Below are 24,259 nucleotides of genomic sequence, written 5' to 3'. Positions count from 1 at the left end.
GTTTAGTGCTGTTGTGACAGCTTGTCCAATAAATGGAATGGCAAGACTTGAGTTTGGTGGTAGCTACATTATACAAAAACCTTGCTTATCCCTCAAAGGATCTAAATTTGACATTGAGACATGTTAAAGATCGTTGAAGCATTTTGAGAAGTGGCGAAATATGGACAGAGTCACATATTAGGTGGGGGTACTTGGCAGTAATGGGTGTTGGCTCCAGAACAGACATAGAAAGACAAGAATAGAAACTGCTGCCCTAGTCCAACAGGCCTCGTGACTTTGGATTTGGAAGAGAGGATGCCAACATTTGAAAAACCTGGTCATTAAGGCCTTGCAGGAAACATGCAGTAAAGGTAGAAAGGGGTAAAGATGCGAGAGTCTGAGGGTAGCAGCAAGATAGACTGGGTTATATATCCTGGGGATTAGTGAGAAAGAAAAGAAAGTGAAGTCAGGAGAAACTGGGCTGGAAGACAGGATCTGAAGCACAACAATTTCAGAGGTGGGAGCCTTGGGAGGGAGAGAAGAAGAGAGAGAATAGGTGTCCTCTGTAAGAGCATGAAGACCTTGAGTTTGAAAGAAAATGAAAGTAATGATCATTGATGTTATGAACAATATACAAAAGTCCATTGAGTTCTATTGTTGATGTCACTGGTGTTAAGAAATAATTTTCAATAAAGATTAAAGCATGACTCATATGAATTAGAAGAAATATTTATCAAGATACTGTCAAACACATTTTAAAAATGAAGAAACCATCAAGATGGTAAGATCAGTTCAAAGAGAATTTACAAATCTGGATAGATATAAGCAATATAATAAAGGATTGTTAAAATAAGTTTGTTAGATTAGGTACAAGGCTGGCTAATGCTCCACAGGGTAACATACCATAATCTTTAGAGTTTCTTTTCTACTAAATAAAATGCTTTTGTGTCTCTACCACTCACAGATCAAGTTATCGTATAACTTCACAAAGACTGTAGCCTTAATTTTAGAATATAGCAACATCCACCAATGGCACATTCTTTTAAAAGGTCAAATAATCCTTATGAGAAAATGAAGCCATTCTCTTAGCCTTATTTATAGGTTTGGAGGGTTTTTTCATTAACAATAAAATGGAAAAATCTATTTTACATTATACCCTTATTTTTACTATCAAATGAAATATATCCAGAACCCAACCAAATCTAACCACTTCCACTGTTATCACCATGTTCCAAACTATTACCATCCCTCACTTGGAGCACTACAGCTATCCCTTAACAGGCCTCCTGACTTCTCCTCTCCCCTAATCCCCAACCACAACCTATCTCAATATAGCACCCAGAGAAATCCTATTTAAGTCATGTTTTGTCATTCCTCTATTTAAAACTCTCCAAAGATTGCCTATAGCACTCAGTAAAATTCAGTTTTTCTAGTGACTCTTAAGGGCCCACCTTGCCTGACCCTCTTTTCCTCTCTAACCTCAGTACACCCCTTTCTTAGATTACTCCAGTCATCCTGGCCTCTCAGCTGTTCCCACAGCACATCAGACAGGACCCCTCAGTATGATTTTGGACTTACATTTCACAATGGCAAGGACATGTTTTTGTTTCTCAGTGCTGTATTCCAAGTTTCTAGCCCTGTGCTGCCTGATAAGATATCCACTAAAAACATATAGCAATTGAGCACTTGAAATGTGCCTAGCTTGAATTAGGATATGTTATAAGTATAAAGCATATAACCAAATTTTAAAGACTTAGTAAGAAAAAAAGGAGGTAAAATATCACATATATTGAAATGATGATAGTTTGAACATATTGGGTTAACTAATTGTTAAAATTATTTTCTGCTCTTTCTCTTTTACTTGTAATGTGACTACTAGAAAGTTTGAAATGACATATGCAACTTGCATTATATTTCTACTGAACAGTGCCTCTGGATCAAGAGCTTGGCACATGATACCTAGTCAGCCAATAATTGATAAAAGAAAGAATGATAAGAATAGACAGGAGACAGAACTGCACAGTGATTAAGAGAGTTGGCGTGTCTTAAATTATTTGTAAGTTATTTACCTTGTGTTTCTGGTTGCTCATCTATAAAATGGATTAATAATTTCAAAAAAATGATATGGCTACTAAAGTGAGGCATCTATATGAAATGCCTAGGACCATAACTGACATATAGTTCATACTCAATTATCTTAACTATTATTGTTATTATTATTACTATCATTATAGAGATGACAGAATATGCCCACTCCCCTACTTTCTTGTCCTAATGTATAACAGATTATTTTGACATTAGATCCATTAAAAATAACTTTTAAAGAGTTATGGTTTTAATAGAGCTTAAAGGTCAAAAAAGACTTCTATAAAATTTATTCGTATTTGTTTTTAATCTTTTGAGAAGTGACCACATTGTTGAGCCATTACTAGGGTCTGCCTAGTAATGAAATGCTTCAGCACCTAATAAGAGAAGCTTCACAGTATGGGAGAAAGGAACATGAGGCTTTGGACTCCTAAGATGGGTATTGAAGTTCCACTTTAACAATATTAGTGTAGCTACATTAGGAGGTAACCCAAACTTTTCCAGTTTTGGTTTCTTTATAAACTAAAAATGGTAGTGGGGAGTATGACAAAACTATCATAAAATTGATTGCTATGACTGAATGACAAAGTCATTACCTCAAAGAAGGTGGACATTCCATATTGTGTTAGTTGGTTTTCTGCTATTTTAACAAAATGCCACAAACTATATAATTTACAAAGAACAGAAGTTTGTTTGGCTCACGGTTCTGAAGGCTGGGAAGTTCAAGAGCATGGTGCTGGCATCTGGTAGCATCATCTCATGTCAGAAGGCAGAGTGAACACAAGAGACAGGGAGACAAAATGAGGGCCAAAGTCCTGCAATAGCTAACCTACTCCTGCAATAAGAGAATTAATCCGTTCATGAGGGCAGAACTCTCGTGGACAAATCACCTCTTAAATGACCCACTTCTTAATATTGTTATAACGACATTTTTAGTTGTAAACACATGAAGTTTGGGGGACATATTCAAACCATGGCATAAATGCCAAGGCCTGACTTAATATTAATTGCTACGTCACTAAATCTTTTTCTTAAGGGTTCAAGAAATGTCAAAGGTCTTTAGGAAGTTGAAACAGCAATGGGATCAATGAAATCCTCTGTTCCCATGGTCTAGATTGTCTATGGAGAGTCTCAAGGTATTCAGGGGATGAATTTAGTTTTTACATGGCCTAAAGATGATTCATTTGTACCTTAAGAACAATTTTCTCCCTTTATTTAGTTATGAGGCCCTAGGCTTTTCTCTGCTGTCATATTTGGCCACTGCTATGCCTCATTTCATGATGACCACCCACACTTTTTCCAACAAGTTTCTTGATTTTATGACAAATTAAATTATTATGGAACTTGGTTCAAACCCCAAAGCAAGACATTACTTCTGAATAGTGAGAGACTTCTCAGAAATGAAGTCTCTAATTTGAAGAGAACTGGTCAAGAAGCAAGGTGCCAAGTGATTCTTTTCATACACACAATCCTGACTTCCCACTTCTTATGCCCAACCAGAATCTCACAATTTCAGCAACAGGAAACAAAGTGTTGCTATTCACAATCTGTGGCAGTACATCAACAGATGGGGAAAAAGGCTTGCGTTTTGAAAAGCAGCTTTTATTCATTCACATAATCTGAAATGCCCCTGGCCATGATCACCATCATCTTTGATGTGGCTTCTGCATATTGTCTGTGCAACACACTGCCTTCCAAGAGAACGGGGACGCCTACATGAGAGCAGCATGGTAAGGCTTGAAAGAAATACTTAACTATTGAACACAATGTCTTAAAACAGAAGCTCTGCGGATTTCCCCCTGTTGATACAAAATGATTCTTCTCAAGAGCTCACAGAAACTTCTTCTCAGATTCACTACACAGGTCCTGAAGGGAAGCACATTCTTTTTGCTCGTTGTGGCATATCTTGGCAGAGTTCCATTTAAAATCTCAAGGAAACTTGACACAAGCAATGGTTTAATAAATGCATTCAAGGTTAGGGAAAATATTTTCCAGCATTACTGTTGATCTCTTGGTTTACTACGGAGAAATTAGGAATCACTAACTTCATAAAATGGTTAAAAGTTCTTTGTGGATGCTCATAAAATAGTTCCTCTGTTGCCCTTCAATTCTTACATTCCTAGAGCTCCGGTTAAAATGGAAGAATGGAAAGGTAAACTAATAATGTCTCTCTCTCTCTCTTTTTCTCTTTCTGCTTTTCTTTTTCTTAATCTCTCAAACGAATAGATATGCAACACATACACAAATACATCTGTGTATAGCTGTATTTTTTTAAAAAAGGATCTTAAGACTCTTCCAAAAATATCAAACAGATACAAAAAAGTGGATCTTGTATTAATCTAAAACTCTAGAGATTTTACCTCTAATTTATGTATGTAAAAGTACACAGCCACAAATTTTATTTATCGTGCAGCATTAATTTTTTGAGATACATACAGTTTGCCAAACTCATGAACTTTCTCCTTTCTCCTCCCCCTCTTTTATTCTCGTGAACTCTCTATCTTTGCAACCTGTACTTTTCATATTTCCCATTAAAGAATTACCCCAACCACTTCCACTAAAGTCAAGACTATCCAGAAGTACAACCTAAGTAAACAAATCCTGGGCTTCTCTTTCCCTTCCTGCTATTCCATTCTACTGTAATACAGAAGCTCAATGACTTCAAACCCCTTCACTCAACAGAAAATTCTTATCTAGCTTCCCTGAAAATAAAATCACTCATCCCTTAAATTTGAACACAACTTTTTCTTCTGCTTAAAAATTGTTTTCAGTGAGGTTAATTAGTTATGTCTTAGGAGAAAAACAGTTTTATGTTAGTCTTTCCTACTAAAACATAAAACAAGAAGATATTTTTGTGATTCTTTGAAGATTATCTGCACCTATAACAGATAAAGGCCTAAACACTTAATGATAAACTAGCATAGATATTCTTATGTAACTCTTCCCACACCTTAAAGAGTTGTTTTATTCTACTTGTCAAGGATATGCCAACTGCTGTAACAAAAAAAATAGCAAATTTCTAACAATGTATAATGGTTGGTCTCAAGTGGAAATGTATTTATATTTCCCAAACAGTTCATCCTGATTAATGGACAGCTTTGCTCCAAGTGGTGTTTCAGGGACTCAAGTACTTTTTATCTTATTCTTCCAACATCTTCAACTCCTGCCAATGAAAAATGAAATAACTTTAGGAAATCACACATAGAAGATTTTTATAGAACGTCTTCAAAGAAGAGAAGATCATATTCCATTGGCTTGAACTCAGTCACAGAACCACATTAAGAATAAGTAATTCAGGAAATGTGGTCTAGCTGTAAGACTAAGAAATCAAGACATGCTTAAAGACTAGCTAGCCAGTCTATAGCAAACTAACACACACTCTGTTTAGAAAAATTATTGTAACCATTCTTTAAGAGTCAGTTTGTGGCCAGCCATGGTGGCTTATGCCTGTAATCCCAGCACTTTGGGAGGCCAAGGCAGGTGGATCACCTGAGGTCAGGAGTTCGAGACCAGCCTGGCCAACATGGTGAAACCCCATCTCTACTAAAAATACAAAAATTAACTGGGCGTGGTGGTGGGCACCTGTAATCCCAGCTACTTGGGAGGCTGAGGCAGAAGAATCACTTGAACCCGAGAGGTGGAGGTTGCAGTGAGCCAAGATCGCACCATTGCACTCTAGCGTGGGTGACAGAGGGAAACTCCATTCAAACAAACAAACAAAAAAGTCAGTTTGCTAGGAACTAATCTTCTTTGCTTTTCTTCATCAGAGAATATCTTTCTTTCTCTTTTATTCCTAAAGGATATTTACAATGGATATAGAATTTATAGTAGACAGGTTCTTTCAATACTTGACTAATATGCTATGCCTTTCCTGTGTCCATGATATTGAATTAGAAATTACCTATTATTTGATTGTTATTTGATTGCTGTTTCCCTATAAATAATGTGCTGTTGTTCTCTGGCTGCTTTTGGGATTTTTTTTGTCTTTAGTTTTCAGAGGTTTCAATTATGATGTATTCTGGCTGTGACTTCTTTGGGTTTATCCTATTTAGGGTTCCCTCAGACTCTTGAATCTGTAAGCTTTTGTCTTTCACAAATTTGTGAAGTTTTCAGACATCATTTCTTTAAATTCCTTTCTAGTCTCACTCTTTTTGTTCTGTCACTCTGATAATACAGATGCTAATGCTTTTGTTTTTGTCCCATAAAAGCCCTTGAAATTTTGTTCATTGTTTTCTAGGCTATTTTCTGTGTAGGCTATTTTCTGTTGTTCAGTTTGGCTAAATTCTGTTGATCTGTCCTCAAGTTTACTGATTCTACCCTCTGTCTACTTCACTCTACAGTTGAAAACCTACAGTGGGTTTTTATTGCAATTATTTTATATATCAATTCTAAAATTATATTTGGTTACTCTATTTATAACTTTTTTCTTTGCTGAGATTTTTCTAATTTCATATTTGCTTCAAGAGAATTTGTAATTGCTTGTTAAAATACTTTTATGATGGTTGCTTTAAAGTATTTGTCAGGAAATTCCAACCTCTAAAGCATCTCTATTCATTATTTGATCTCATTCTAGTTGTGGTTTTCCTGGTTCTTGGTAGAATGAGTGATTTTCTATTGTATCCTAAACATTTTGGATACTATAAGACTCTGGATGCTATTTAATTCTCTTTTTAAGCAGAGAGCACACCTATTGCAATGTACTCTGAGGACCAAGAGGGTGGTGTGGGTTGGAGTGAAGCCTAGGAAGTTGAGTTTCTAAACAGGTTCCCAAGTGATTGTGATGCTGCCCAGCTAAGGATTGTCCTTTGAGAATCACTGGGGAAAAAAGAAAATAATTGAATTAGATTGAAGGAAACCTGGATTTCCATGTTGAGAGCTTTATTTCCCACTGGGCCTTGTCAAAACCATGCCAGGAAAAGTGAGGCACAGGCTTTCTTTACTGACCACAAGTGGGGGTTCTGGGGTATTTTACTTTCCTCCTGGGCCTTGCTGATCCTGGGGAAGGGAGAAGTGGAAGGCTCATTCATGCTCACTTGTTGGAAGGTGGGATAAGCTTAGCTTCTGGCTGGCAGTTTCTGACACCAGGGGAAGGAAAAGGAGGAAATGGAGTACAGACTAGCCTCACCTCTCACCATCCCATCATGCTTCATTGATAACAAGTGTGGGAGCCCCACCATTGTTTGGCATTGCCATCTCAACTCATGGCTTCTAGAGTCACTGAGGCATGGAGGGAAAACAATGGAGGACCCAGATGCTCTCAAACCTTCTTCACTTAAGACCTTCTTAAAGATCTACAACATTGTAGCAGATCTGTCTAGGATTCAAGTTTTGTTTCTCTGTTGTCAACTCGTATACCATCAGTTAAGCTTTGCTTTCTAATATGTTTTATGGCAAGGAAAATGGGTGACATGTCATCAGTTCACACAAGTATGGAAATCTTAATGGCATAATCTAATAGCAGGGAGCAGTCTAGGAATTCACCCCATGTGACGGTTAATTTTACATGTCAACCTGACTAAGCTATGGTGCCCAGGTGTTTGGTCAAACACCAATCTAGATGTTGCTGTGAAAGCATTTCCTTGAATGTGATTAACATTTAAATAATTAGAACCTGAATCAGGCAAACTACCTTCTGCAATGAGTGGGCCTTACCCAATCATTTGAAGGCCTCATGAGCAAAAGAAAGAGATCCTTTGGAGGCAGAAGAAAACTGGCCTGCAGACTGCCAGACTGCCTTCAGACTTGAGCCAAAACTGCAACTCTCCAGGATTTCTAGACTTTCCATCTGTGCAAACTTTATAATAAATCTCTCTCTCTCTCTCTCTCTGTCTATATATATATAAATATATATACACACACACATATATACCTATATGTATATATTTATGTGTGTATATAAACCAAGAAATGTAAAAAATAACAAATTTTATTGATTAGATATCTGCTATACTCACTCTGACAGAAGCTTTAGCTGCTTTATTGAAATTTCAAGATTATCTTATAAGATAAATATTAATATTCCCACTTTTAAAATAAGTAAACTGAGTTACAAAGAGATTTAGCAGCTTCCTGATAAGGCACTAGGATTTGATTTAAATTCAAATTTGCTGACTCTAATGTCTTTTAACAACCACCACACATCAACTTATTGAAATTCATAACAACACTAAAGTTATATCATTTTTTCTATCAGCCTTCAATACCTAAGTTTTTTTAAAAAAAAATCACACACCCTTTGATTTTATCATTTTGTATGTCTTTCTCTCTTCCTTCAATATTTGCCTCCTCTTTGTCACCTGGATTTCAATACCCAAGTCCTGAACATGGGGCACCTTTTTCTCCCAGACTCAGTTCCATGTAATGTAGATGCACAGATGAGCTATACATGGTCTGTGCCCCAGAGAATAAATCTTTATGGATGTTTCTCCCATCGTACATTTCTTTTTCATTTTTCTGACTGTAACTTGAGTAACAAGATACACTGGGGACTTTGTCACTATTGATGAAATACAGGATAAAAATAATTGTCACTATAGGCTTATCTTCTTCTCTAATCATTTATGGAGCCCATTATGGATGCTACTTAGCATTGCCAATTAACCAACAAATACTTGAGTTTATTCTTTGTCCTTTCCTGTTTCTGCAGCCAGGAATATATAATTCTATAAGATACACTAACTTGTGGCGGCATTTACAGACTTTTAGGGAGACACAATTAACATATATAAAGCAATTAGAGAGCAGCATAATCAAGAATATATGTAAATGACAAATTGTTTGGAGAAGTGAGTTTACAGATAACTTGAATAACTGTAAAAGAAGTCATTCCAGACCTAGAGCCAATAAAATTAGGAAATTGAAAAAAGGATGCATGAGATCCATTTTGTGCATTGTTTAGGTCGGTGTTTCTTAAACTTTACTGGGCATTAGTACAACCCGAAGGACCTGTTAAAACATAGATTACTGGCTGGGCATGGTGGCTCACGCCTGTAATCCCAGCACTTTGGGAGGCCAAGGCAGGCAGATCACAAGATCAGGAGTTTGAGACAAGGCTGGCCAGCATGGTGAAACCCCGTCTCTACTAAAAAAAATACAAAAATTAGCCCAGCATGGTGGCAGGAGAATTGCTTGAACCTGGGAGGCGGATGTTGCAGTGGGCCGAGATCACGCCACTGCCCTCCAGCCTGGGTGACAGAGCAAGACTCAGTCTCAAAAAAAAGAAAAAGAAAAGAAAAGAAAAAATAGATTACTGAACCTCAGCCTCAGAATTTCTGATTCAGTAGGTCTGGAGTGAAGCCTGAGAGTTTGCATTTCCAATGGCCACTGATGCTACTGGTCTGAGGGCCACATTTTATGTACCATTGGTCCCTCTAGGTCTTTCACAGTAAGTGTCTGTGTCTGTTAGCACCTTACACATTTCAGAAATCAACTTATAAACCCGCTGTTGCATTTTCTTCTGACTTTTCTTTTACCTTCCTGAATTTCATTGTCCTACCTGCAGTAAATAGATCCTAATAAACTCTAGGCTATGCTACTTCAAAGAAAAATGTGGTGGTAGAGCAGAAAACTGACTGCTTGGATGAAACCAACATTGGATGTTCGGTTTGAAAATAATTCAATCTTTGATACTTTCATATACGAATCCAACATCAAAGTGAACTCCCAGGTTCTGTCAGATTTCTTCTTTCTAGTAAGAGATGAAATGTTTGTCTGCTGTCATTCCTTAACACAATAATTAGACAGTGTGACAATACAGTTTTCCTAGTGTTTGTAATCCTTGATCACATATTGTAATCATAAATATAGGCCACAGACTGAATGACTTAATTACAACCTTGATGGTAGACTGATAGAGAAAAACCTCACACTATCCTCAGGGTAAAAAAGGGAAGCTTTTGAACATATTTTAGAATCAAACTATGGCAAATATTTAGAAATGTAGTGCTGATACTCAATCTAACATAATGATTTTAACATGCCCTGACATACTTAACTTTTATGCCTTTATGCATGTTCCACTTAGCACATATTTTCAATTCATCCACATCATGCCAAATTCTCCAACTTTTTTCAAAGCCCCCATTATGTTTGCTCAATCCATTGACCTATCACTTCCTTTGTTGACACCCATTTATTTATTAAACACATTCGACACAGTAGCCTCTATGCTAGATGGAAAAGATATAAAGGTGAATGGAACATAAGAGAAGCACCTGATGGTTAGGAAAATATGCTCGTAAACATATAAACACAATAAAGTATTAGAGGGTTATCATAGAAGTATAATGGCTCAGTTTGACTAAAAAAAATCGACCTTGTTTTAATGTTATTCTCTGAAATATCATGTGAGCAGATTCTGTCTTTTTCTGCTAATGCAATTAGTTCCGCATATTCAAAATAAATCTTTTCTCAATGTTATAACAATCATTGACTTGTGTGTTCAACATTTAACTTATGTAAAGCCAACATATTTAGACCACTCCTCCCATTGTAGTGACAGCATAGAAAAAAAAAGCATTAAATTCCTTACCCCGACATTTCAATAGTTAAAAATACAAATCCTCTGAACTTATCTTATGTATTAGTTTTGAGCCATGAAAATAATCAACATTAGATGTGGGAGACAGAAGTTAGATAGCGGTCAGACATTTCCTTAGGATCCTCCCCTCTTCCACCATCCTCCAGCCCCAACCCCCACCAAAAAAAGCCTAGGGGTTTTGCCAGTGTCCTGGTAGGCTGAGATTAAGACTTTGTAGGACCCAAAGGCCAGCAATACCTGGCTACATTGCTGGACATTGTGTATAAAAATATATATAGTGCGTGTGTATATATATACATACTATGTAGTGTGGGTGTGTATATATACAAATATAGTATATAATTTATGTATATATATACACACAAATACAGTTACATAATAAACTGTATTAGAATATATATAAACTGTACTAGTATATATAAACTGTATTATTACATTTATATATAATGTTTATATATATACCTAAACTGCATTAGTAATTACACAAAAATTTTAAACCGTGCAATTCTTTTTCTACTAATTATTGTGCAGTAGTAGAAATATCATGAGAGAATAACACTTTCAGATATTGTTAAGTACCACAGTGACATTTGTAGACACTTCTCTGGTCTCTAGGATATGTCAACAAGACAGCCAGTACATGTTTAATGGAGAGCAGTGGCTGGAACAGATTCATTACGCTTGGCCTTGGTCCCCCTCCATCTCCTAGAATGGAAACATGTGTCAACACCAATAGATCACATAATCATTTAATTATTAATCTGAACTCCAGCTTTCTCTTTTATAAAGGTCTATAGTTCAAATGCATGTGTTTAGTGATTCCTCTAAAATTCTATGGATTCTCAATTTCATAGGTACTTTCACTCTTAGACAGATAGTATATTTGAGCTGATAATTTGACTAGTTAATAGGTAACTTTGAAGTTTTTCTTTTGCACTGACAGTTCCCCTCGCAGTTTTAAAAGCTATATCTAATAAACCTTATTTTATTCTGAAATAAAAAATTGATTTCCAGAGAATATAATAAATGGAGAGTAAAGAAGTCCTCAGAGCAATTAAAATGCATGTTCTCAAAAACATCTACCTTAATCCTCATGAAATCATGCAAAAGTGCCCCACTCAGTGCACACCTAGCATCTTAGAAGGAATAAATTGAAAATGAATTATTTTATGAAAGCAATTGAATTTTATGGTTTTATGTTCATAATTTTACTTTGTTTCAAATGTTTTGCTTTCGTATTCAAGTGAGTATGAACTGGGATTAGTCCAGCATAAAGAAGAATGTTGAAAACCAAATGGTTCCTTATTACATTTCTACCATGAAGAAATGCAAAAGATAGAAGGAACTACTGGAAGAGCAGGAAGGAATGGTCACTAATTGGGAAAGAGGAAACAGTGTAATTATAAAACATGACTTAATCTTTAGAAAATGCTGCCAGGTAAAATCATATAGTATAGCAGAAAACAATCACACGTCTCAAATGCCCCAGTTTATAAGTTTATCACTTGGATATTTTGTTTTGTGTTGCATCCTTGAGCCTAGACATGCACCTAGGAAGCTCACTCTCACCAATAATATTCAACCAGCAACATTGCTCTGTTTTTTAACTCAAATGACTAAACTTTTCCATACACAGAAGGTGCATGAAAAGACAAAGCTGAATCTCAGCTTTGCTATATTCTTACTTTGTGATCCCAGGCTGCAGTCTTGAGTAGAGCTTAATGAGTAGCTACTGTTTAGTGACCTCTACTACATGTCAGACTATACATATATATGCATGTATTATAACTAATACTTACAAGTAATCGTATAGTCCTAGAAAAAGACTATAATCTTATCTTATATATAGCCAACAATCAGTAAATGGCTAAATTAGATTTGAAATGACATCTTGTTTTTTCCTTTCTTTCTTTTTTTTTGAGACAGAGTCTCACTGTGTTGCCCAGGCTGGAGTGCAGTAGCATGATCTCAGCTTACTGCTTCCTTGAACTCCCAGGCTCAAGCAATCCTCCCAGTTCAGCCTCCTAAGTTGCTGGGTCTACAGGCATATGCTACTATGCCCAGCTAATTAAAAAAAAAAATGTAGAGACAGGGTCTTACTATGTTGCCCAGGCTGGTCTTGAACTCCTGGGCTGTAGTGATACTCCCACCTCAGCCTCCCAAAGTGCTAGGATTACAGGTGTAAGCCACCTGGCCAAAATGATGTCTTTCAGTTTCAAATCCCATGTCCTATCTCTGTCCCGCATCCACCATGCTCCTCCCCTATCTGTAAACCCAAACTCTTAAAGAAATGGTCTTAGTCACAGTCTCACCACTGATTAGCAAGGTTCTTCATTTCTTTATAGAGGTCTTTCTTTTCTCCACAAACTTTATTTTTTATACACCTATGACTCAGAGTAGCAAAGCCCCTTTTGTGCTTCTGTTCCTTAGAATAAAAGTGCTGGAGAAATTAAAACCATAGCACTGAATCATTATGAGTAGTAATGAAAGAAATAGGGATGATCTTATCAATCACTCTTCAAAGGTATAATGTGAATGTCTAATTACATAAACGATAAAATACATAGCACTGCACTACCTTTTCATACTTATTTTTGTCTTTTTGAAACTTCAGGAGATATAGGACACAGAATAAAATGAAGGATAACAAAAGATTAAAAAATAGATGAGAAAAAAAGAATTACATGGTATACCAGATCTTACTCAATTTTAGATTATTGGGAGAGAAAATTTACCGGTTGCATAAATTGGTGAACTAGGAATGAAACAAGACACAACTTTATTGGGTCTTGACACAATTTTAATTCCAGGAGTGAAACTTTTGACCTGATCATTTCCCTTATTTTAACTCCCTAATGTAAAATGGGTCAAATGAAAACTTCCTTTTCTTATTCATGGAAATAACATGATATCTGGATTATAACATTATAACATGAAATAAAAATGGCCATAAATGTTTCATGCATAATTTTAATAAAGTGAGGTAAAAACAAGAAGTCTGTAGCCTCAGAGTTCTCTGTGTGATCTGACTTGATTTTACCATTTACCTCCTGCTACATGGTTCTGGGTTTGTCTTTTTATTTTTTTTTTTCTCTACTAGATTTTTATTAGTAATGCTAAAAATAAAAACATTAAATTTATGCAATGATCTGATGGGCAGAAAACTTTGGAACTCCAGTTTAATCACTTAAATGGCTTTGTTGTCATGAAAGAAGCCAGTAACTTCTTATCTACTTAATACTTCCTTTTATGATGTTCCGTGACAAAAATTGTCTGCAGGATTTTGGGTTTATAAAAGGAAAAGGACCCCACCCTACCTCTCCAATCTCATTTTTTGCTCCACCAGCATCTTTTGCTGCAGGCAAATTGGACCACTTGAGTTTCATCCAAGGTGCTGTGTTCTCAGTTATCCTGGTGCACCACGTGTCTTATCATCTCTGTTCCCCATCACTTCTACTCAATCTTCTCCTTTTACCTCCTGCTACATGGTTCTGGGTTTGTCATCTGACCCAGTTATCCCTAGCACTTTGACTGAGCCCGTTACATTTTACTTGTTTCTGTTCCAGTAGGACACTAAGAAAAACCTCTTTTATAACACCATATGATTCAGCAATGTCACTTCTCGGTATTTTCCCAAAAGAATTGAAATCAGAATCCTGAAGGGATATCAGCACTCTCATGTTCATTGCAGTACCATTCACAATAGCCAAGATGTGGAAACAACCTAACTGTCCATCAACACATGAATGGAAAAAGAAACTGTGGTATAGACATGCCATGGAATACTTATTCAACCTTGAAAGAGGAGGAAATTCTGTAATATGTGACAACATGGATGAGCCTTGAGGACATTATGCTAAGTGAAAAGGCAATCACAGAAAGACAAATATGCTTTCATTTCATTTATATGAGGTATCCTAAATAGTCAAGTTCTTAGAAGCAGAGAGTAGAATGGTGATTGCCAGGGATTAGGAGGAGGGAGAAATGGGGAGTTACTAATCAACAGGCATAAGGTTTCAGTTAAGCAAGTTGAATCAGCTCTAAGATCTGCTGTACAACATTGTACCTAGAGTCAATATGTGTCATACACTTAAGACTGGGTTAAGAGGATACATTTCAAGTTAAGTGTTCTTACCACAATAAAACAAAACAAAACAAAAGCACTTACAATGACTTTGTCTGCCCCCTCACAAGACAGCCAGCTCCTTGATAGCAAAGACAATGTCATATCTGCTCCTGTACGCTCAACCTTTGCAATGGGCTCAACACGTAGTAAATCCTCAAAGATCTTTGCTTCATAAGTAGAGACACTGCAAATAATTTAAGCTTACAATTGTGCTGTGCTTTATTAATAAAAATGGGGCTTCTGACCTATTGTTCAGTAAAATTTAGATATCTTTTATTATTTTTTTCCCAAGTATATTTATTGATTTTAAAGGCACTCTATTTCTGGCAAATAGTCACATGCTAATAGAGGAGAATCAAAACTTTCCCAATATTAAAAAAGTGATCATGTTATAAAAGAAAATAAAAATTCACCTTAAATAAATTTTATTTAAATTTCATATTTATCTCAAAAGATTAAAAAAATAAAGCAGAGATGTGTTCTGCCCACAGTTAGAAAGCGAGTTTAGCGTAAATATTGAAATTCCTGCCTTCCCAACGCTATGTCACAATCAGGCCCCATTCACCCCGTGGTCCCAGTTTCCACATGCGTCTCAGAAAGAGTTTCACTATCTCCATATCCATTCCTCAGCTGTAGCTTGGAGGAGCCCCATGGGGTATTATTATTTCAGCCAGTAAAAGCTAGATTGACTCTAAGCTTGAATCATGCTGAGACTTTGCTTAGGCTGCCAAGTTCAAGCACGGTTCCTCTTGCAAGAAGAGTTTTACAGTTGTGTGGCCGAGGCCACTGAGTCATTTCCTCCCCCTGCTATGGGCACTACTTCAAACAAGACCTCACCTCACCCTTTCCCAATGGAGAGGAATCACAGGACCTTCTAAATGAAAGACTGCTGAGCCTTGAATGGCATTGTTAATGTTCCTCACAGACTTACCCTATCAGAATTATAACTTAAAGGGAGAAATGCCCAAAGGGCTTGGTCCTGCTCATTTAATTGGTCCTATGCTCCCTTTAGAGGCTTATCCTAGAACATTTAATTAGGCTAAAGAGCGCATTCCCTCTGTAGAATGGAGAGTGGGAAAGTGTCCAGTATTTGAAGGGGAGGATAGCTGGTTGTCAAAGGTAAGCCCATTTCTAGCTACTCATGCTTGATAATTTTTTTTTTTTTCAATTGAGACAGAGTCTTGCTCTGTCATCCAGGCTGGAGTTCAGTGGCACCATCTTGGCTCAATGCAACTTTTGCCTCCTGGGTTCAATTGATTCTCCTGCCTCAGCCTCCCGAGTAGCTGGGACTTCAGGCTTTCTTATTCCTGCTTATTTAGGATTGGGATGTAGATGACCTCTCTAATGTCATAGTGAGGTAGGCAATTTTAAATCTTATCATCCCATTGTCCAGGCACATGGCTCATGACTGTAATTCCAGCACTTTGGGAGGCTGAGGTGGGAGGATCACTTGAGCCAGGGGAGGTCGAGGCCCTCTCTCAAAAAAAGAAATCTTATTACCCCAGAACAATTATATTCCTGGAAATTAACCAAATCAATTTAAATATGGCAACAAAAGGTTATTTTAAATAAAAGAAGCTCCCCTTGCTTGAAAAGCTGGCTCTACTATTAAAAAAGAAATTAACAGGGTGGAGCATGGTGGCTCACGTTTGTAATCCCAGCACTTTGGGAGGCAAAGGCGAGTGGATTGCCTGAGGTTAGGAGTTCGAAACTAGCCTGGCCAACATGGTGAAACCCTGTCTCTACTACTAAAAATACAAAAAACCTTAGCTGGGCATGGTGACATGTGCCTGTAATCCCAGCTACTCTGGAGGTTGACACAGGAGAAACACTTGAACTCTGGAGGCAGAGGCTGCAGTGAGGAAAGATTGTGCCCCTGAACTCCAGCCTGGGTGACAGAGGGAGACTCCATCTCTAATAATAATAATAATAATTATTATTATTATTATTATAACAATAATAATAATTATTATTATAACAACAATAATAATAATAATAATTATTATTATTATTATAACAGAATGGCGCTCAATATTCAGAAACAAATTTAAATTGGTGTAAATATGTATGTGTTATTGAATATTTGTGGAAAAAAAATTAAAGCCACTTCACATTCAACTTGAGTATTGATTAACCTACATTTAGAAAAGGCTAAGAGAGAAAAAGAAGTTTACTTTTGCTTTGTTTTATTTTGTTTTCCTTTTTTTTTTGAGTCACAGCCTTGCTCTGTCACCCAGGCAGGAGTGTAGTGGCACAATCACGGCTCACTGCAGCCTCCACCTCCTGGGATCAAGCGATTCTCCTGCCTCAGCCTCCCGAGTAGCTGGGATTACAGGCGCCCAACACCACGCCTGGCTAATTTTTGTATTTTTAGTAGAGATGGGGTTTCACCATGTTGGTCAGTTTGGTCTTGAACTCCTGACCTCGTGATCCACCCGCCTCGACCTCCCAAAGTGTTGGGATTACAAGCGTGAGCCACTGCACCTGGCCTGATTCCTTAGTAATATCTTTAATCAAAGCTCTGAGTACTTGATTGAAGCCAAACCTGCAAAGCCATGGCGTTGAGTTCCTCCAGTTCTGGCTCTATTCACACTTCATCTCAATCTTTGCAATGTAGCTGGGGTAGGACATCTCAGAAAATGAGCTTGAGGAAGACCAAATCAAAATATCTTTGACATAGATGATTATCTCCTGATCTGAAGATGACGGAAGATGTGACTCATCAGGGGCTGGAACACTGTGAGGATTTACGTGGGCAAAATGGCATCAGAAGCAGCAAGGATGAGCTGAATTTGACTTGGCAATGCTCTTTTCTCTTCCTCGCTTTTCTGAGTTCCTAGAAATTCATTTCTTGTAAACATCAAACACTCAGACTGTTACAACAATCAGGGCACCTATAAAGCTTTGGTTTCAAAGGAGATAGATGAGTGTCTGCTAAACAATGTTACATTGCAAGTTTTATGGATAACTTCCCTTTAGATTTGGATGGGGGCTTGAAGACAGTTTGTGCTTTCAAAGGATTCCAGTCTCAACATAAGATCACACTCATGATCTTAACATAATTAGATATAGTTATTTTGCTACTACTCAGTAAGTCCCACAGTAGACCATGTGCTGGAATGACATGCAAACTCCTCAGTGGGTGAGCCAGAAGTCTTCCTAGGCAGAAAAGTATCATAGTTTGGCACAATTTGCCAAAGTAAAGTCTTCCACTCAAAATAGACTCCTCCCAATCCTGGCCTTGCAGCCAGGCACCTTAAATGTAATCACTTTCTGTATGTTACTCTACATATAGAGTGGCAGGGTCAGGGTCATGTGGAATGCAGTTGTGGGCATATGCAGATACAGATAAACAGCTAAGTTCCCAAGATAGCTGTAAATGTGCTTATTTTCCTAGAGTCAATTATCAGCAGGACATACAGATAGAACTCAAATATCAAAACCATAGGCAGTCAAAATATACCTCAAGGTAAGAGAAGGGATGAGGCTTAGACTTGGCTTGTTCCTTGTCTAGACTGGAAATGGAGAAATCTCTCAATAGAAGTGTGGGCTAATTATCTGTATTAGGAAAGGCCTCAGACTAAAAACTTAACTGAGTTGGTTGTGACCGTCTCCCTATCCAGTACTCGTCAGGTCACTGATCGAACAAACCATTTGATTTTGATGCGAGGTAGCACATGGCAAAGGATAACTAAGTCTTTTTTAAATTGCTTTCCAAATGATATCCTTTAAAACACATTCCAGTAGTCTAGAATTGAAACTGAAATCTCCCAGGACTTCCCTCCCTTCCTTGTCAGAGGCAGTAGGTGGATAAATAGACATACTCCACTCTTCTTACAGGTCTTTGGAAAGATCAGAAGAATGAGCATTCTTCAGAGTTGACTGGCTTTATATACACATACAGCTGTTTCTTTATCCAATGGGTCAAGCAGTAAACCAAAACACCATGGAATCAGTGGTTCATAGGAACTACAAAGGTAGCCATAAAAGCATATGCTGAAGAAATAGAGGCATATATATTTGTTGCATGAATAAATGGATTTTGCTAATATCATTAGGCAGCCATTTGAGTCACTGAAGGCAGACCTGCCAGGCCAGGGCCAGCATTTCTGTCATTGCCTTTACTAACATGGCAAAGCCAAAGTCCTTTTTTTTCTTTTTTTTTCAGACAGGGTCTCACTCTGTCTTTCAGGATGGAGTACAGTAGTGCAAACACAGCTGACGGCAGCCTCAACCTCCCAGATTTGAGCGATCATTTTACCTCAACCCTCAGAATAGCTGGGACCACAGGTGCATGCCACCATGTCTGGCTAACTAAAAAAAAAAAATGTTGTGGAGATGAGGTCTCATCATGTAGCCAGGCCGGTGTCAATCTCCTGGACTCAAAGTCTTAAATGAAAGAGAAGACAGTGAGTCATGGGTCCAGAGGAATAAATAACGGGAGATCAACAAGGAAGTTTACTGTAATTCACAGGTGGCAAAGACTAATTCAGAACATATTCTACAAATGGAATGTATGTACTGAACAGACTGACTGATATATATATAAATATTTTAATAGATTTTTAGCTAATTGATTTTTGATAAAATTCAGCCAAACCATATGATTCTGCCAATATTCAACTATGTCAATGAATCAATTTGGGGTAATTTCATAGGACATAATTCTAGAATGTAAGACGGGATCCCTCTTTGTTGCTTAATGAACTGTTTTAGGGTAGCATTTCACAGAAGAAAAGTGTATGTACTTAATAGAAATATATTAGTAATCTGTACTTAATAAAAATACTTTACAAAGAATAATGAGGAAACTTCAGTGTAGGAAGCTGGGTAAGGGTTGGGTGAACTTCACTCAGCACCTCTACTGATATTTCCCTTAGGAGGAACAGCTCTGCTTGTTCAGGACATCATGGCCAACTCACAGTCCCCTGACCCAGGACCAATTTGAGGCCATCACTTCCTGCCTTGTTCTGGTTTACCTGGTGATATCACACACTATCTGGCAGCGAAGAACTTCATGTGCTCTGCTAGAACCAATATCTTCCCATGACAAAGATGTTTCTGCTGGGTGTGTATTCTCTTTCCCCATTCTTTTGAGATAAACAAGAGCCACCTACCTCTTCCCTTAAGTTGTACACTCTAGATTTTGTACTATTACATGGTTAGTTAGGACATGGCTGTCTTCACACAATTCTCTCTCTTCCTCCCTCTCTCTCTGGAAGTGATTATTGTTGCATTGGGATACATTTACTCAGCAAAGATTTATAGAGAAAAGAAAAAAAAAGTATAGGCCAAATGTTCAAGGCCACAGAGTTGGACTAATAAGAGAGCCAGAGCTGTGTTCACATTCCTGGGTCCTTCATCAGGCTTTTTCCATTCTTTCAATCTCAGACATCCTTCAATGTGGTGCTCATTTTATATCCCATACTCATCTCAGGTCAAATCTCCTAGATAGGCAATCAAACCTAGTGACTGATTTGTCTACTTCATGTTTTAGTAATGACTTTGAGCCCAAACTGAACACTTTAAATTTTACTTTCCTCTCTATTGTATTGTCCTTTTGTTCTTTCTTATTTTTTTTTCTTTTTGGTGCATTTTGGTCTGTGCATGCATTTTAAGAACACTTGAGGCATTCCTATGTAGGTAGCAGAGGATTTCACCAATGATTCTGTTCCATCTCCCATCCCTATACTCACATTTCACCATTGTGTTTTAGAACCCAGAGAACTTCTCTTTTCCATGTCTTGATATTGTTTTAATTTTTTTATTTGTTCATTCTTCTTGATCAACTGGTGTGCTAGGGAAAGCTTGCATAGGATTTCAAGAGTTAATTGTGCACGTGCCTTCTTAACTTGAATGGAAGCTTGACATTAGCCACAGTAGAAGTGTTTGTAGAATGGAAATCAACAAATACTACAAATCAGGGGATTTGGGGTATTTTGAAAGGCAATTGTTAACTCTTTCATTTACTATCCTACTCCTCTTTCTGCTCCACCATAAAAAATCAAGCCATCTTGTTCCAGCCAACTATTTTTTTCCTTTGTGGGGCCTCACCATTGCTAAATGTTTAGAATGAGGCTGTATTTTACAACACCTCCAACAATGTAAATATTCTTCAGTTGACCTGATGCCTCAGCCAGGAGATCCCTCTATTCCCAAAATCAGAGTAAGACAGATATACTTGAGTTATCTCTCCCAGGCTCACATCTGCTAATACTTCAAGGAAAAGAGCTAACAGAGACTGCCTGTATTTGCCATCTGCATTTTTCTTTTATTACTGTGAAGGATGATGCCATGGTAGAACCTTCAATTTTAACTAACTCACCAGATAAATACAGCCACTTGAGTGATCTCCTGTGAAACCAACAGAAGAACCACCCCATAATCTACATAATCTTGATAAGTAATAATTTCTTGTTTTAATGCATCAAGTTTGGGGGTGGTTTGTTATATATCAGTGGATAACAGAAAAGAGCATCTTTCTGTTCTACAGATTTGCAACTGAATTACAAACCACTCCTTAACTTCTTACCTTGGCTTTGGGAACCTCACCTTTTCTAAGGAGCTCGTCTTTAGGAAGGTTCAGTTACAGAAAAAGAGGGGGAGTAAAAAACCTAGGACAGGGCCCACAACATGCAATTGAGAGAAATCCAATGCAGGAGAGCCATTTGAGTAAACAGGAAGGCTTTAAAAAAATAAACACACACAACTGCAGGTGGCCACCAGTCCCCTGAGTGAAATTCTTAATTTCCAAAGACAAGAGCAGGCTCCAGAGATCAGACTAAAAAGAATACATTCTTTTGCCCTTTTTTGCTATTGGGTCACTATAGTTGTTAATAAAATTTTCTCTTCATATTTAGTGCCCGTCCTGAGTGTGCTGGAATACATATAACTAGGGAGTGCTGTATGCCTTCAAACAACTATCTTACAATATCTTCAAAGCTAAGCCTGAAAATGAGGTAAAACCCCAAACAAAAGACTTGATGGTGGAAGCAGAAGATATCTCCAGAGATCATTTAAAAAGGCTAACAACCGTGACAATTATCTCCTGGATGTCCATTTGTTCACATCTTACTTCATGCACATGATAGTCAGATTGTGCACACTTGACAGATCATTCCAGAAGAGGCCACCTTGCCAACAAAGAGTCCCTCGGGAATATTCAGCCCTTAAATCTTCACTGGGATAGGAATGCCTCAAGATTTAGCATTAGTCATTCTCAACCATGTATTTGAAGAGGACTACTTATTCTGACAGCATGCTCTAATTGAAGACACTGAAGTTGAATTAAAAATATAAAGGGCCAACAATTCCCTTTGGGTACTTAACAAGTCCTAAATGGTAGAAAAGTAACCAACAGAGAATTTATAATTCTGTTCATATGTTACTCTCTGGGGGATTATACATTATTAAAACTTATTGAAAGGGAAGCCTTGTGTTTTTCCTTCTTCACTTAGCCTGTTTTCTCTTTGCACTTCTCTCAGTGAGCCTATAAAGTGAGCCTGAGCAGGTTCCCATTAGCTGTGGTCAGTTTTAATTTCTGGTTCTCATGTGCAAAGCTGATGTGTGTAGGTTCCCAATCCTGGAAGGAAAATGCCACGAAACCATTTCTGGCATTGCTTAATTAAAACAAAAAATGCAGCCTGCAATTTACACAGCAAAATTTAAGACAATCCGTTACCTCATGTGAACAAATTTCTTCACTACATAATTCCATAATTCTTTGCCCTCAAAGACCATTTGCCCATCTCCTCTAAAAATTTTCACATGAGAAGAAAGGTGATGAAATAAGACATTTTCCCCTCTATTCCAGTGAAATTTGAAGTGTGGCCTCTCTAAACTTATTTGGTAAAAACAGAAAAAGTAAATTCCTCAGTATTCAGACACCATAGTCCACAACTTCCATTTTGAGCCAACAGCTAACCACCATATGCATCATAAATTGAGAAACTGTGGTACTAAGCCCCCACCTTGCTGGCCAGTACTGCATTGAGAAGAGGCCAAGATCAAATCTTCTAGCTTTTATCTAAATTTAGTCCTACTTCTTTCAGCTTCAAGAAACAGAAGCTTCACTCAATCTGGCTTTCAAAATGGTGAGAAAAGAAGTGGACTCACATAATTGAAGAGGCTTGAGGTAAATCAGAGTTTCATGTATGGCTGAATTCATCAAGAAAATCTCCTTCTCTATTCCTTGAAATGATTTTCTTGAGGGTTTGCTTTGTTCTCACAGAAGGCTCTTCTTGTGTAGTGGAAAAGATAAGGAAAAGTACCAGCTTACATTTCATATACTAAGGAATCCCAACAGAAAGAAAGTACCTCTTATTTAATTATTCCAGGGAAAGGCCTAGGTCTCCATAATTAGTCACTGAAGCCAGAAGATGGAATAATCTGATGTGCCAGATTTTGGTTTTTATTTTGGTTCAGGTTTCCCCAGAAGTAGACCTTGAGCTAAGGATTCCAGTGAAAACAGTTTATTGGAAATTGCAAGGAACACAGGTGGGTGACAGGGAAGTCAGCCGATTTAAGCAGTACTGTTAAATCAGATACCAGTGAAATATTATAGTTTAACTTTGCAGTAATAGCCTCTGGCTAAACCAATACCTAATAATTACCCTTGCCAAGAAGTGAGAGATTCGGGGTACTTACATTGCTATACCCATCAGATATTAGGTAAGGCCTACCTCCAGACGGATTCCCCATCCCCCAGTCACTTTCCACCTGCCTTGTGCATGAGAAAAGAAGGTTTCGTCAACATGAAGGCAGATGTCCAGCAAGCATGCTTTTGCTAGCTGATGGAGGCTAAAATTTTACACATGGAAATGGAAGGGGTATTTGAAGAGATATGGGCAGAGCACCAACAGTCTGCGATAGATCCTATCCTCATTCATCATTGAAGGGATGCAGGGTTTGGTGCAATAGCCATACCCAAGCCACATCTAATGAGAGTAGAGCAGGGATAGCGTTTACAAAAGAAAACTAGAGTTCTGTCTTCAAGAATAAAGAGGAAATGTTCTTTGACAGGTAAATCCAAGAGATGTTCTCTTGATTAACTGAAACATGAATAGTGCTTTCTCAGTGTAAACCTGGCAATACAGAGACTGGTGCCACACTGTAAATGGAGATTAAGAAATAGAAACTGAGCTTGATCTTGCTAAGGTTATGGATTATCCCTAGCACTTGAGCTGGGATCTTTGAAGTGTACTCAATGCCTTCAAGAGCAAGAAGATGGAGATGAGTACACTCTTATGTCTTCATTCTACTAATAATTCTTAGTCAAGAAAGTACAACTACTCAGCATTGGGGACTAGGAATAATTTTCTAAGATACAGCAAATGTAATTGGTGCTTTCTGGAATAAAATAATTAAAAGACAGTTATGGCAAAGGTATAAAGACTCTACCTATAAATGTCTATGGAAGGAACTCTCTTAGCCAAAAAAATAAGTGGCTATCAGACGATTTTTAATCCCTTTATTTTGCTTTGGCTGTAATCATTGTTACTTGGTGATGAGCATATTGTTTGGCCGTTTAT

General features: G+C 37.6%; 1 long non-coding RNA gene across 1 annotated transcript in view; it reads left to right on the top strand.

Annotated features, from left to right (window-relative positions):
- LINC01428 (long intergenic non-protein coding RNA 1428) overlaps nt 1-24,259 on the top strand; it is a 107,736-nt gene that overhangs the window by 42,855 nt on the left and 40,622 nt on the right. The window contains exon 4 of the long non-coding RNA NR_110609.1: nt 22,781-22,863. This is a non-coding gene — a long non-coding RNA (long intergenic non-protein coding RNA 1428). The remainder of the gene's footprint in view (nt 1-22,780; nt 22,864-24,259) is intronic.

The sequence above is a fragment of the Homo sapiens genome, chromosome 20 (assembly GCF_000001405.40).
Source record: "Homo sapiens chromosome 20, GRCh38.p14 Primary Assembly".
NCBI classification, from domain to species: domain Eukaryota; kingdom Metazoa; phylum Chordata; class Mammalia; order Primates; family Hominidae; genus Homo; species Homo sapiens.
This window is presented reverse-complemented; position numbering and strand designations above follow the sequence as displayed.